Below are 15,741 nucleotides of genomic sequence, written 5' to 3'. Positions count from 1 at the left end.
TCCTACATTGCATGGGTAGGAACCCCAAGAGAGGAAGCAAATGATTGCTTCTATAAACATCATCCACTTGGTAGCCCTGTTGAGAAGATTAAGTAAGATGGGGCATATGTAGAACATCTCTAGTGTGAATGGTTAGTGCCCAGTATGTCTTACTTAGCGTGTTACCCACAAGGCAGAATGGCAGTTAGCACATTTATACCATGACTGTAACTACCAGTGAGCAAGAACGCTGGTGTCAGCCAGTCAGTGTAGTTTCCTCCGGATGGAAAACCTATTTGGGAAATCTTGTTGCTGGGGGCGGGAAAATAAGGACAGAGAGCTCTGTGATTATAAAGGATATTGAAGGCTGATGTGGTGGTCTTCCCTACCAAGTAGGAATCTACCCACCAAGCAAACTGTAATACTCACCACATCTATCCTCTGCCAGTGCCATGATATACTCATCACTTCTTTTTATTGTGGCAAAATACACATCACATAAAATGTGCCATTTTAACATCTTGAAGCACACAGTTTATTGGCATGTTGTGCAACCCTCACCACTGTGTATTTCCAAAATTTTTTCATCACCCCAAGGAGAACCTCTGTGACCATTAAGCAATATGTTCCCATTCCCTACATGCCCCCTCCACCCCCAGCAACTTCTTCTGTCTCTATGAATTTGCCTATGTTAGATTTTTCATCTAAGTGGAATGATAGAGAATCTGTCCTTTTGTGCCTGGTGTATTTCACTTAGCATGTTCTTCCACATTGTGGCATGTACAGAATAGGCTCCTCGCTTCTGAAATTAAAACTTTCTTTTTGATAGCCCTCACGAGGACCTCTTTTGTCCTGCTGTTTACTTGTTCCAATCATACCCCTTTTCTTCTTTTCAACATGTTTTCAGAGCCTCCCCTCCCGGAAGTAGAATTTTTTACGGTGCACAGAGGACCTCTACCACGCCTCAGACTGAGGAAAGCCAAGGAGAAAAATGGACCAATCAGGTCAGTAGCTGTCCTTTCTCCACGGTTGCCCAGTGATCCCCATGGAGTGTTTTGGAAACTTTGATTTTGGTGAGGAGAAGACTTCTGTGTTGGTGGCTGCACTTGGGTGGTTAGAACAATGCAGTTGGGGCCTCTTTTGTTTCCTTGGGTACAGACTGGCCTTTAATCCCAACCAGCATCCTTTCTAATGGTGAGAGAGACTTCTTTTTTTTAAAATTTAAATTTTATTTTTTATTTTTTTGAGATGGAGTGTCACTCCCATCATACAGGCCGGAGTACAGTGTTGCGATCTCAGCTCACTGCAACCTCCACCTGCTGGGTGCAAGTGATTCTCCTTCCACTGCCTCCTGAGTAGCTGGGATTATAGGTGTGCACCACCACACCTGGCTAATTTTTGTATTTTTAGTTGAGACGAGGTTTTGCCATGTTGGTCAGGCTGGTCTTGAACTCCTGACCTCAGGTGATCCACCAGCCTCAACCTCCCAAAGTGCTAGGATTACAGGCTTGAACCACCACACCCGGCCACATAGAGAGACTTCTAAAGGACCCTATATACAAGCATTTGGGCAGTTTAGCTCAAGAAATTACATCCATTCCTTTGGTCCCTGGGTAAACGTCGGTTGCATGTTAGGACATGTCAGGATTGTCCTTTGCACTCATGTCTCATAGTACATCCTTTATGGATGGTGGGTCAGGGGCATCGTTTCATTTCCCAAAGGCAGAATATGTTGCCCTTTATGTAAGGTTGATCTTGGGGGGTGTGCAGTGGTTTCTGAAAAGATCATTTAGGTAAATCTTTTTGTCTTTTCATGTATTGAGTTACAGGCAAGACACTGTATAATTAATGACTGCTTCTGGGATTCCAGATGGCATTAGGATGGAATTAATTTACCTCAGTTGGAGGACTACAGTGTGTTCAGTTAAGTGTTTTATTTGCAAAGGTCATGGCAGGATTAGGAAAGTAGCATCAGTCCCTTTTTTAGAGAGGAAGATTGAGGTTGGCGTGGAGAGATGAACAGCTTGCTCACAGTACCAGCTCAAGGAGATGAAAATGTACATGGCCTCACCAACATTGCCTTTGTCTCTGCTGACCCTTCGGTAAAATCAAGGTTAAAAAAAAAAAAGTGAGATATTATAAAATTACAAAAAAGAAAGTCTGGCGATATTATCTGTATATCCATTTATAATAAAACTTAGGGTTTTCCTGCTTTTATATTCATTTAAGTTCAGTAAATGTGCAAAGATCTTTCCAGGGATGGACATTGTATAAATTGTTCTGATTCTTGACAAGTTACCAGAAGGCATTGTAATTCTGTCATTATAAAGAGAACAGAAGTTGTGATGTCACTTCCTGAGAGCATTTGCAAGAACAAATGTGATATTTATGTCAAATAATGACATAATGCAAAAGAAAAGCCAAATGACAGCTTACCCTTGTGGCTATATGCCGGCCAGCGCCTCCAAAACAGGAAGTGGAGAACTGTGAGTCATTCGAGGGAGTGTGGTGGTGAAAAAGAGGAGAAAAGTCCTTCCAGAACAGTCATATTCCAAACAGCCACAGCTGCTTCTTTAACATCACATGGCTAATTACCAGCAGGCAGGGTGGTTTTCCTAAGCCTGACTACCTGGTTTGAGCTGGGGGGCAGCAGCTTTGCCAGTGTGTGAGACAGGCCTGAGTCTGCTTTGTGCACCATTTAGGGACAGTGTCTTGGGGTACATAATGGAGCAAGGTCCCTGGGACCAAGTCTCTGCTGAGGTTGCTGATGTTAGGCAGAGGATGGAGCCTGTTGCTGGGTTCCCTTAATGCTCGTGTCTCCCACATTGCCAGATTATAGGAATCACCTGGGAGCTTTACCAGCGATACAGATTCCCAGAATCTACTCCTAGAGATTTCGATTCAGTAGGTCGGTATGAGGTCGGGGAATTTGTATAATAATCAAGCAACACAGGTGATTACGGTCAGGCTAATTGGGGAGCTGATTCATACTCTGTCGATGATGCCTCTAGTGAGCAATGTACGGAACCAAATGGGCACAGGTGAGCCTCGACCTTGCTCTTGACCACCACCACCTGCATGGAAAGATGAGAGGGATTTAAAGATGTACTTATGGACCGCATGGAGGTGCTGCAACATTTACTTTCTTACCTGTGGCTATGATGTAGGGATGTCTTCAAGTCTCCCGGCAAGTTTGTTGTTACAGGTGTTCCCCATAGGCAGTGGATGCTTAATAAATGTTTACTGGTGGTGACAACTTATTGCCCTGTGGGTTTTACTTTATCTCTTTTGTAGAAAGCCCTTGGCTGAAAGTGAGCCAAGACTTTATGAAAATCAGGACCCTGGGCCAGGCACAGTGGCTTACGCCTGTAATCCCAGCCCATTGGGAGGCAGAGGTGGGCACACAGGGCAGTGATACGTGCAACAACTTCCCCCAGCTAAAGAGGTCAGGAGTTCAAGACCAGCCTGGCCAACATGGTGGAACACCATCTCTACTAAAAATACAAAAAAAATTAACCGGGCATAGTGGCGAGTGCCTGTAGTCTTGGCTACTCAGGAGGCTGAAGCAGAAGAATCGCTTGAACCTGGGAGGTAAAGGTTGCAGTGAGCTGAGATCACACCACTGCACTCCAGCCTGGGCAGCAGAGCAAGACTCCCTTCTTAAAAAAGAAAAGAAAAGAAAGAAAATCAGGGCCCTGAGGATACCTAGGATGTTTGGGAACCTGGTGGGGGGAGACTTTCCATATCCAACACCCACTGTGGAGGAGGGCTCCCTCTTCTTAACCTAGTGATTCATGGGCTCTTAGGAAGCAGGAGATAGGGCGTTTGACATGTGAAGCAGGAAGTTCAAATTTACTGGTAAAATAGAATTACATGGCCTAATGAGTTTTGGAAATTACCCTAATTATATTTCACGCTGATGTATGCTTTTCCTCTTTTCCGAAATTTCAACTCAAGAATCATTCATTGCTGGTGGCGGAGGGGCGGGGCAGGGCGGGGGTTGGGGAGCTATCATTTCCAAAGAACTGTGCAAGGATTTGCAAGAATACAAGTCAGTCGTTCAGATCCCTGCTATCAAGCCTGACAGAGACAGCAGATGCTCAACATGGTACTAGAGGCAGGAGCTAAGTACCAGATAGATGGGAATAGAAGGGAAGTGTGATTCATTCTCAGTGCATTTTTATTCTCACACGTCCTTTCACTGCCAGGCTTTCTATTTGATGGGACAAATAATGAAACACATAACAAAAACAATACCCATTTGTTAGTGTGTTTTTCTGTCCACAATTGGGGAACAGTTTTTACAGTGCATACATGACATATTACTGTTCTGGCTGTTTCAGGGTGTTGTCAGACTAGATTAACTCATGGTGACTCTGCACTCTTGGCGTCTCATTTATTTCACATGAACTTTGGTATCAGCCCATGAACTGTAGGGGATGTAAATCACATGAGTTCTGTTTCAGGTCACCGCATGACTGTCTGCAGCCTTTTTTCCGGACTTAGTACATTCACTGTGGTAGGCACTCGGTCTCCATGTGACTGCTAACCCTTTCCACAGTTGGGCTTTATTTGCCCACGTGAAAATCACTGATCAGGTCAATTTTATGACACACACACAGGGCAGTGATACTTGCAACAACTTCTCCCAGCGAAAGAGGATGTACTTGGCATCTCTCTGCAGCCAGAACTTGGAGAGGTCCCTTGCCCTGTGTCGTCTGGCATTAACCCTTTAGGTTCAAACTGGAATTCCATGATGGTTGGAGCCATCAGACTGTAAATCCCACATGGGCCCGGACTTTTTCTTGCCTAGTGTCGTGTCTCCAGTGCCTAGAAAGAGGCTTATTTCAGCTGGGCGCAGTGGCTCACGCCTGTAATCCCAGCACTCTGGGAGGCCGAGGCGGGTGGATCATGAGGTCAAGAGATCGAGACAAGCCTGGCCAACATGGTGAAACCCCATCTCTACTAAAAATACAAAAGTTAGTTGGGCGTGGTGGCATGCACCTGTAGTCCCAGCTACTTGGGAGGCTGAGGCAGGAGAATTGCTTGAACCTGGGAGATGGAGGTTGCAGTGAGCCGAGATTGCACCACTGTACTCCAGCCTAGTGACAGAGCAAGACTCCATCTCAAAAAAAACAAAAAACAAAAAAACAAAGAAAGAGGTTTGTCTCATAGCAGGTGCTCAATAAATATGAATGAATGAATGAACTCCCCATGCAAGGGTCTGATGGACACTTCTCCTTTTTTCTTCCAGTTCATATCAGGTGTTAGTGCTTCCCCTGGCCCTCCAAAGCACATTTTCTTGTGATTCTGAAGGCGCTTCCTCCTTCTTTAGCAACGCCTCTGATGCTGATGGATACGTGGCTGCAGAACTACTGGCCAAAGATGTTCCAGATGATGCCATGGAGATACCTATAGGAGACAGGCTGTACTATGGGGAATATTATAATGCACCCTTGAAAAGAGGGAGTGATTACTGCATTATATTACGAATCACAAGTGAATGGAATAAGGTATCTTTCTTTCCAAGCTCTTGTGAACTCTGTATTTTCTTCTTCGTATGACATTTAAATGTTTGAACATTTATTTTCCAAGTATATGAGAGGGTCACTGCATGTAACAATCACAAAATGTTTGTGAATACTTTGCCTTTATGAAGAAGGGACAGGTGAAACCCTTACAGATGATATGGATTCTGAACCACCTGGGGACCTTGCTGAATCAACATTTGGACTGACCTGGTTTTGTTTTTACTCTTAAGCTTTACAGATGCCCTCATTCTATTGCACTGCTGAAGTCTAAGTTGGAAAGAAACATCTAGATTCTCTGTTAACTTCCTTGTGCCCCTGCCAGGCTGCTGCTTCTCTCATTCTCCTGGGAAGCCGAAGATTAAGCACAGCACTCGGCTGTTTTTTGCTTACATCCCTTCCGCAGCTATGGCATAGGTCCCACTTTCCCTTCTACAGTCCTTAGAAAGCTCTTCCAGCAGTGGTTCTTTCCTGAGACGTGGAACTCAATATTCATTAGATAATTAGGAAACATCATGGAGCTGCATTAATCAGTCAGGGATGGAAGATCTGGAAGAACCATTGTGATGGTTGACCTAGGAGAACCCTAAGCTTGTTGTAAATTCATATGGGCCAGTAATGAAAACTAGAAGGATTATATTAATACTAATACAAGCAGCTCTTGACTGATGAATTTGAGATAAAAGTATGTTATCATCTTGAGTGTAAGGTTTATCACATATTTAAAACTGAGACACTCTATTAAATTCTGTGTGGGATGCAAATGTAATGTGTCATGAACATGCTTGCTATGAAACCAATAGTTACTTGTAAGAATGTTCAAGTATCAAAGATGTCTAGCAGCGCTTTGTGACAATAATGGAGGAATAAAGAAAGGAAAGTTAAAGCCCAGAAATATATTGCCCTGAACTTACCAAAAAGGTATTTACAGCTTAGACAAGGCCTTTTCATTAGAAAATTACTTGGGGTTTCTGACTTGGAGTTTTTAGCCATAGACAAAACACTGGCAGTACAACATGAGTGCAATTTAGAGATGGTTCAGAGATCTACTGTCCTAGATTAAGACTTTGGTTGGGGAGGGTATATTAGTCAACTTGGGCTGCTATAGTGAAATATGGTAGACTGGGTAGCTTAGGCAACAGACATTTATTTCTCACAGTCTGTGCTGGGAAGCCCAAGATCAAGGTGCCAGCTGATTCAGTTCCCCAGTGAGGACTCTCTTCCTGGCTTGTGGACAGCTGCCTTCTTACAGTGTCCTCACGTGGTGGGGATGGAGTGGGGAGGGGAGAGCTCTGATTGCTCTTCCTCTATTTATTAGGACACTTATCCCATCGTGAGGGCTCCAGGCTTATAATCTCTTCTGAATCTATTTCTCTCCCAAAGATCCTGCCTCCAAATACCATCACATTGTAGGTTAGGGCTTCGACATTTGAATTTGGGGCAGGGGTTGGGTGGTGAGCAAGGGGCATAGACATTTAATTCATAACAGAGGGAATGAAGTTGGAGGTTAGGACAAGAATTCCGGTTTATTAGCCAGGCATGGTGGTATGTACCCATAGTCCTAGCTACTTGGGAGGCTGAGGCAGGAGATTTCTTGAGCCTGGGAGGCAGATGTTGCACTGAGCTGAGATCATGCCACTGCACTCCAGCCTGGGCAACAGAGTGAGACCCTGTCTCACACACACACACACACACACACACAAAGAATTCTGGTTCATAGGAAACTTTCCTGTGATGTCATTGATACTCTCTTTCATGTAGCTGAACAGAAGAATATGTGGTTATTCTTTAGGATGTTAAAGGAGATGAAAGGGCTTTGAAAACATTTATATTTGGATCTACATATTTAAATTGCGATGACTTTCCCATGGGTTTCAACTGTATTTGTGTGACAATTACAATAAAATCAGTAGTGATTTAATTTTAATTTTTAATTGTGATAAAACATATACAATATAAAATTTACTGTCTTAACCATTTTAAAGTGTAGTTCAGTGGCATTAAGTTCATTCACATTGTTGTGCAACCAGCGTCCAAAACTCTTTTTATCTTGCAGAACAAACTTTATACCCATTAAATGACTCCCCATTCCTTCCTTCCACAGCCCTTGGCAACCAACATTCTACTTTCTGTCTTTTTTTTTTTTGAGGCAGAGTCTTGCTCTGTTGCCCAGGCTGGAGTGCAGTGGCACGATCATAGCTCACTGCAGCCTCAACCCCCGGGGCTCAAACAATACTGGTGCTTCAGCTGCCTGAGTTAACTTGGACCACAGGTGTGCACCATCATGACTGGCTAATTTTTAATTTTTATTTCTTGTAGAGATAGAGTCTCTCCATGTTGCCCAGGCTGGTTCCAAACTCCCAGGCTCAAGTGATCCTCCCACCTTGACCTCCCAAAGTGTTGGGATTACAGGCATGAGCCATCACGCCCAGCCCTACTTTCCATCTTTATGAATTTGACTACTCTAGGTACCTCATATAAGTAGGATCATTCAGTATTTTCTTTTTGTGACTGGCTTATTTCATTTAGCCTAAAGTCTTCTAGGTTCACCCATGTTGTGGCATGTGTCAGAATTTCCTTCCTTTTTAAGACTGAATAATATTCCATTATATGAGTATACCACGTTTGCTTATTCATTTATTCATGGATGAATAATGGGATATTTTCCACCTTTTGGCTATTACGAATAATGCTGCTGTGAACATTGGTATGCAAATATCTGTTTCAGCCCCTGCTTTCAGTTCTTTTGTGTATATACCTGAAGTGGAATTGCTTGATCAAATGATAATTCTATGTTTAATTTTTTGAGGAACTACCATACTGTTTTCCATAGTGCTATACCATTTTCCATTCCCACCAGCAGTGCGTAGGGCTTCCAATTTGTCCATGTCCCTGCTAACACTTACTGTTTTCTGTTTTCTTTTCTTATAATAGGCATCCTATTATAAGGTAGGGTGTGAGGTGACATCTTTTGTTTTGGAAGTGGGGGATGGGGTCTCACTTTGTTTACCAGGCTGAAGTGCAGTGGCCCAATCACAGGTCACTGCAGCCTTGACCTCCCTGGGGTCAGATGATCCTCTCACCTCAGCCACCTGAGTAGCTGGGACTACAGGTGCATGCCATCACACCCGACTAATTTTTCCATTTTTCATAGAGACAGGATTTTGCCATGTTTCCCAGGATGGTCTTGAACTCTTGGGCTCAAGCGATCCACCTGCCTTGGCTTCCCAAAGTGCTGGGATTATAGGCATGAGCCACCACTCCCAGCATGAGATGGCATCTTATTGTGGTTTTGGTTTGCATTTCCCTAATGACAAGTGATGCTGACCATGTTTTCATGGGCTAATCGGCCATTTGTGTGTCTTCTTTAGAGAAATGTCTATTTAAGTCCTTTGCTCATTTTTGAATTGGGTTGTTTTTGTTTTTGTTAAATTTTAAGAGTTCTCCATACATTCTGGATATTACTGTAATCCCTTGTGAAATACGTGATTTGCAAATATTTTCGCCCATTCTGTGGGTTGCACTTTTACTATACATAGTGTCCTTAGATGCATAAAAGCTTGAAATTTTGATGATGATCAGTCTGTCTATTTTTTCTTTTGTTGCCTGTGTCTTGTCATATCCAAGAAGTCATTGAGAAATCCGGTTTCAGGAAGCTTTTTGTTGTCTTCTAAGAGTTTTATAATTTGAGGTCTTATATTTAGGTTTTTGATCCATTTTGAGTTAATTTTTTATATGATATTAGGTAAGGGTCCATATTCATTCTTTTATATGTAGATATCCAGTTTTCCTAGTACCATTTGTTGAAAAAACTTTTTTTTTTTTTGAGACAGTGTTTCAGTTTGTCACCCAGGCTGGAGTGCAGTGGTGCAATCATGGCTCACTGCAGCCTCGACCTCCTGGGCTCAGGTGATCCTCCTGCCTCAGCCTCTCAAGTAGCTGGGACTACAGCTGTGCACCACCATGCCTGGCTAATATTTAAAAATTATTTGTAGAGATGGGGTCTCCCTGTGTTGCCCAGGCTGGTCTCAAACTCCTGGGCTTAAGCGCTTCTCCTATCTCAGCCTCCCAAAGTACTGGGATTACAGGTGTGAGCCAGTGTGCCCAGCCTGAAAAAACTGTCTTTTCCCTATTGAATGGTCTTGGCACTCTTGTTAACTATTATTTGACATATATGCAAGGGTTTATTTCTAGGTTCTCTATGCTGTTCCATTGGCCTATATGTCTGTCTTTATGTCACTACCACACTGTTTTGTTTACTGTAGTTTTGTAGTAAATTTTGAAATCAGGGAGTGTGAGTCTTCCAATGCCCCATTTTGTTTTTCCCTTTGTGTATCTGTCCCAGTAAATAGCATTGCCATGCCTCCCATTGCTAAGACAGAAACCTGTAAATAGTTCTTGTCTCTTCCTTCTTTCTTACCTTCTTATCCAGATCATCAGCAAATCATGTCAATTCTACCAACTTAATTCTGTTTAAAATCATTCTTTCCTCTCCTTTGTCTGCACTGCTCAGACTTTGTCATCTCTTGCCTGAACATCACTTTTCTACCACATCTTTCTGTCTCTTATTCTACCCGTCTCCTTGCTTCATACCACTGCCAGCATGAGTTTTATAAAATGCAAGTATGATCCAGGCATTTCAGTTTAATAAGCTCCCTTCTTCACCTGGCCCCTGCCAGTTTCTCTCCTTTGATATACTCCATTCCCCCAAATGGCCTTGCTATTTGAAGTCCCTTCCATTCTCCAGTGTCTTGAAATATGTTCTTTACTGGTTATTCTTGCACATTACCTTCCATTTCTAATATCTGCACTTAGCATCAAAGCAAATGTTAGTCACATTCAAACGCTTATGGCTATTTTAAGCTTTTCTCAGATTTTTTTTTTTTTTTTTTTTTTTTTGAGACGAAGTCTCATTCTGTTGCCCAGGCTGGAGTGCAATGGTGTGGTCTTGGCTCACTGCACCTCCGCCTCCTGGGTTCAAGTGATTCTCCTGCCTCAGCCTTCCAAGTAGCTGGGAGTACAGGCGCCCACCACCACACCTAGCTAATTTTTATATTTTCAGTAGGGATGGGGTTTCACCATGTTGGCCAGGCTGGTCTCGAACCCCTGACCTCAGGTGATCTGCTCATCTCAGCCTCCCAAAGTGCTGGGATTACAGGTGTGAGCCACTGTGCCCAGCAGCTTTTCTCAGAATTTTTAAGCTTAAATTAAAAAAAAAATTAATAAAATCCAAACCAGAATGCCCAAGGCTGTCATTTGAAAGAGACTCTCCTAATGACATTGGAAGGATCCTCCTCTAACCCTCACCGTGCAGCTTCCTCTGGGGAATATTTTCAAGTCTTATATAGAGCAAGTCCCCAGCATTTGTAACAGGTAAATAAGCATATCATAATGACAGGGGGGAAGAGATATTCATTCCACTGAATCTATAGATTTCTTCTACTATGGATGAGCTTTCATATATGTTCCTGTTGCTTTCTTCCCGGTTCATGGACACATTTTGGGTAACTGACGTTGCTAAGTGACATCTAGATAGATGAAGTATTATATACTGGGACTTCTCATAGCTTTGCCTCTAACATGCATCACTACTTCTTGCTGAACCTTCTGAACGTGTGACCTCAGAATCCTTTTCAGCATAATTCTCTAGGCGGTCCATGCCAGTTGCTCAGAGCTGGTCAGGGGAATGGTCCTTTTTGTCACTCCTGTTGTTGGCCTATCATATATGCTTTCCAAGACCTGTTGGAAACCTATAGAAGTGATCTGTAGGGTCACTTCTGTCCATGCAACCCACGCCGGTCCCTTGAACACTTAGTGATATCACAAGATATTAGAGCTAGATTGGACTTTAAAGGTCTAGTTCAGATTAAGAGATTGAAAAAGCTGAAACTCAGAGGGCTTCAGCCTCCAAACTATATTTAAACTGACACTGTGTGCCACCTAGCTAAATGCATTGCTATGTTTTCCTTTATAGGTGAGAAGACACTCCTGTGCAGTTTGGGCTCAGGTGAAAGGTAAAATTATTTTCTGCCTATGAATGCTGTCCTTATTTCTTTTCTGCAGCATCAAGTTCATATTGATGAGATCTGTTTATATAATTGTCACTGGTGACCAGAACCCAATTCATACTACTTTAAGCAAAGAGCTTCATAGCTGAAAAAAAATGGGAGGAGGGTGAGTGGATGGGAGCTTATGGAATTATACAAAGAGCTACCCCACCAAGAAGGCTCCAGGAACTGGGACTGGGGACTCAACACCGTGAGTGGGACTTTCTATTTTTCTCTTGTTTCAGTTCTCTGTTTCTAAGAGTCACTTGGCTTCGTTTTCTTCTACTGTAGGACATGTGAGAGGGAGTGATGGCAAGCTCCCGCAGCTTACCGATTTCACTGGGAAAACATAGCTTTTCAATTCGGGGAAAGATTCTTTCCTGCTAGGTTAAGTGACTGCCCATTGGATGAATCACTGTTACTAGGAGATGGGCTAGGATGATTGGCCTCCCTTGGGTTTTATGTCTCCTCATGGCTGGTTGGAGGCAGAGCAGTGTGAACAATAGGTCCACTAGGTTTGCAATGAAAGGGAGACAAAATCCCTATCAAGAAATGGGGCACAGGAAAAGATGCCGAAAAGCCAATACAAGAGCTACAACAGTCCACTACCATTCGGCTGTGTAGCTTGTGCACATACACATATAATATTAAGAAAAACTGTAATCCCAGCACTTTGGGAGGCCGAGGCAGGTGAATCACCTGAGGTTGGGAGTTCGAGACCAGCCTGACCAACATGGAGAAACCCTGTCTCTACTAAAAATACAAAATTAGCCAGGCATGGTGGCACATGCCTGTAATCTCAGCTACTCGGGAGGCTGAGGCAGGAGAATCACTTGAACCCGGGAGGCAAAGGTTGCGGTGAGCCGAGATCGCGCCATTGTACTCCAGCCTGGGCAACAAAGGCAAAACTCCATCTCAACAACAACAACAACAAAAAAAAAAAAAAAAAAAAAAAAAGAAAAGAAAAACTTCTTCCCTTAACAAAATGGAACTATCCTATGCATGATCCCACATGGAACCCTAGTGGAAGACAACTGAAAGCTGGGTCCGTTACTGCATCCAGCTCCAAGACCAGGAATCCTGGGGATAGCATCTTCCTCTTGGTCAAGTCCAGATGTGTTTCTTGTGCTCTATTTAAGTAATCTATGACTAAATGGCAAATTTAACCAATCTCAAACCATAATACATAATATGAGAGGGAAAACTGAATAGCACAATAAATACGCTCATTTAGAAAGGAGGAAAAGATAAAGCAATGTACAGTGGTCAGGGGGCCCTGTAGCAGTGATCACCTCTTGCTGGGCAGGACAAGCAAGCATCCCCTGCCCTGGCAGCAGAATGGGTCACTTGGGTGGTCAGTTTGGGTCTGCCTGATGGGACCCCTTGTCCATTTCCTCCAAAGCCTTTCCTTAGAGATGCAGTGGGAACATTTCTGCTGAGCGCTGTATAGCTTAAACCTTTGCCTTGGAAGAGTTATCCAGGCGGGGAAATTGCCTTAGGGTTTGAGCAATCACAGGTCTTTGTTTTCCAGGCTCGGGATTTCCCTGGCAGTACAGTACATTTCTTTAAAACCAACAGGCAGCCAGCCAGTGGATTTGATTCCCAGGAATTCCATTAGTTTGTAGCTAATACCAGAAATCTTGTTGAGTTTATGACCTTGGAATCTGGACCTTTTCCGTGTGGTTTGTGGGTCCTAGCAACAGGCTGTCAAGTTCTGCCCTTAGCCCACAGTATCAGTTTAACCCTTTACCTCCTCTCCCCGCCTCAGAGCAGCATAAAACAATCAACTGGCATGGTGAGGAAGTGCCAGCATAAACTTGCTTCCCTAAGGATTCCACTGGATAGCACTTTTTAATGGGGAATTTTTTATCCTGTCAGTAGAGAATACTGTGCAGGAAATATCTGGGAGGGGCCTGGGGAATTAGGCTTCCTCCATTTGTCTGCTTCTCTCCTGATCTTATTTTCATCTTTTTACCTCTGCTCAAACCAACTGCAACAAGGGTAGAGGACTTGGCTTTTCAGCAGGGTGCAAGGCGGGTTACCTGACTGTCAGCCATCTTGGATTGCTGATGACCAGGCAGTGAGGGCCCCTCTTGACAAAGATGGGTGCTGTCCTGTTTCTGTGTGCAGATGGGCCAAGTCCCTTTACTTGTAGGACTTTAATAAAGGCCACACATTCCAACATTCATAAATTTTTTTTTGCCAGTCCATCCCCTGAAGCTCTAGGATTGGGCATGGCGTTCTCACGAGGAAAAGAGATGCTTTTATCAGAATAATTAAGATGACAAAGCTTCCAGACACAAAAATAATAGCTTCCAGAATCCACTCTACTCAGCAGCTGTTTGCTATGATTGGAAGACATTCAAACTGGGTAGAAGAAATCGCCAAAGAGCTGGCTGCAGTCATTCTGCTATGATTAAATTAACAGGGAGGATTTTGCTTTGAAAATATCTAAGTGGCTTTGGCAGTGCTCTGGTTTCCCCTCAGCTTGAGAACCAATATTGAAGGAGAGTTTGAGCCTTTGAAATTAAACCACTGGAAATCTCTGGAAGATAATAGGAAAAACACTGTTCTGTGGAAATTCTGAAGGCAATTCTAGCAATACTTTTTTATGTATAACATTTACCTGTGTTGTGCACCCATCTTGGGCAGTCTACTTTTTCAAAAAAGTTTGGAGACTGCCATTTCAGAAAGTAATTTGCAGAGAACCGAGATCTAAATTAGTCCTGAAATCGTGCCAGTTCACTCGTGCCAAGGCTCAGCCCCATTCTGGCCTTTGCCCAGTGACAAATTATGCTATTTACCTTTTGCATATTGCCCCTAGAAGAGCTTTGTAAAGATGATCAGGAAACCAGCAGTCGGTTTGATGGAAGATGCAGAGGCCTGGGCTTACTTGCCTGAGTCTTCTGCTACTAATCAGCCAAGTGTCTTTGAAATAGTATTTAACTTGGCCAGTTCTCAGTCGCCCTCTCTCTGGGATCTCTGAGATGCTTTCCAGCCACAGAGTATTATGAGTCTGTGATTTCTTGAGTCACAAAGCAAGGTCATTTGATATATGTGAGATGATAATAAGCTGTAATCGGGGAACATTCTCCAGTCGTAAGCATGAAACCTCTGAGTTATTCGGGACTACTCCTTTTTCTCTTTCAGCCCACATTTAGCACCTTGGGCACGCCTCTCTGATTTTCATTTCTGTGTTCACTCCCTGAGCATAGGCCTTCCTACCTGTAGCAGGGATGACGGGCAAATCCTCCTTCCTCATCTCCCATCACAAGAGTTCAGAATTTCCCTCGTCATTCCAGCCTACACACCACCACCTGACTTGTTTCTAAACTCAGAACTGATTTTGTTTCCTCTGCTTCTGTGGTCCTCCATTATTTTTCAGTTTGGCTTCCAAGTCCTCTATTTGACACAAACATACCCTTCTAATTACATCTTTTATTCTTCTCCATTCAAACCAATGTTCCAGCTGTTTTCTGGCTATGGCCCATGCTTTCTCCTCTTAATGTCCTTGCTCATATAATTACTTGACGACTTCCATCTGGATTTCCTGATCACCCACCTGTGAATCTCTGCTTATCCCACCTGTTTTTCAAGATTAAAATCAAATGCCCTTTCTTCCCTGAAGCTTTTTAAATTTTCTCAACAGGGCAGGATCTGCCCTTCTTTGGCTATTCTGCTATATTTTAGAGCAATGGGTGTGCACTTGTTTTGTCTGTCTTCTACTACTAGATTTTACACCCTTGAAGGGCATTTGAAGAGGAGGAACAGAGCCTGGCATGCATTAGGTGTTCAATCAGAATGCACTGAATTGGGCTGAATGATTACTGAGGAAGCAGCAGTTAGTTTTATGGGAAATGAAGCATAGGAGGTGCAATACTTATCAAATAAGCCAGAGAAGACTTACATCAGGATATAAACCTAGTGTGTATGTATACATATGTATTTACTGTATATGTACATATATGTGTATATATGTACATATATACATGCACACAATCATTTTAAACCTTTATAGTTGTGATGGGAAGAATTCTAATATGGTTCCCAAATTCCTTGTCTTTGGTATACATCTACCTTCTCTCAGTTATTCATTCAAAGACTGTTCTAGGTATTGCTGTGAAGGGATTTTGGAGATGTACTTAAGCTCCCGAATAGGGAGATTATCCAGATAGGCTTGACCTAAT

General features: G+C 43.1%; 1 protein-coding gene across 14 annotated transcripts in view; it reads left to right on the top strand.

Annotated features, from left to right (window-relative positions):
* SUSD1 (sushi domain containing 1) overlaps window positions 1-15,741 on the top strand; it is a 134,515-nt gene that overhangs the window by 111,378 nt on the left and 7,396 nt on the right. For 5 of the 14 annotated variants that reach the window (NM_022486.5, NM_001282640.2, XM_011518916.3 and 2 more), the window contains 3 exons: window positions 887-983; window positions 5,234-5,492; window positions 11,482-11,521. In NM_022486.5, the coding sequence (NP_071931.2) occupies window positions 887-983; window positions 5,234-5,492; window positions 11,482-11,521 (396 nt within the window). Of the gene's footprint in view, window positions 1-886; window positions 984-5,233; window positions 5,493-11,481; window positions 11,522-11,570; window positions 11,766-15,741 lie in introns of those variants that run through there. The other 9 variants (XR_007061338.1, XR_007061340.1, XR_007061339.1 and 6 more) reach the window with 4 other exon arrangements.

The sequence above is a fragment of the Homo sapiens genome, chromosome 9 (genome assembly GCF_000001405.40).
Source record: "Homo sapiens chromosome 9, GRCh38.p14 Primary Assembly".
Classification (NCBI taxonomy): domain Eukaryota; kingdom Metazoa; phylum Chordata; class Mammalia; order Primates; family Hominidae; genus Homo; species Homo sapiens.
The sequence above is the reverse complement of the archived record's forward strand: the minus strand, read 5'-3'. Positions and strand labels throughout refer to the sequence as shown.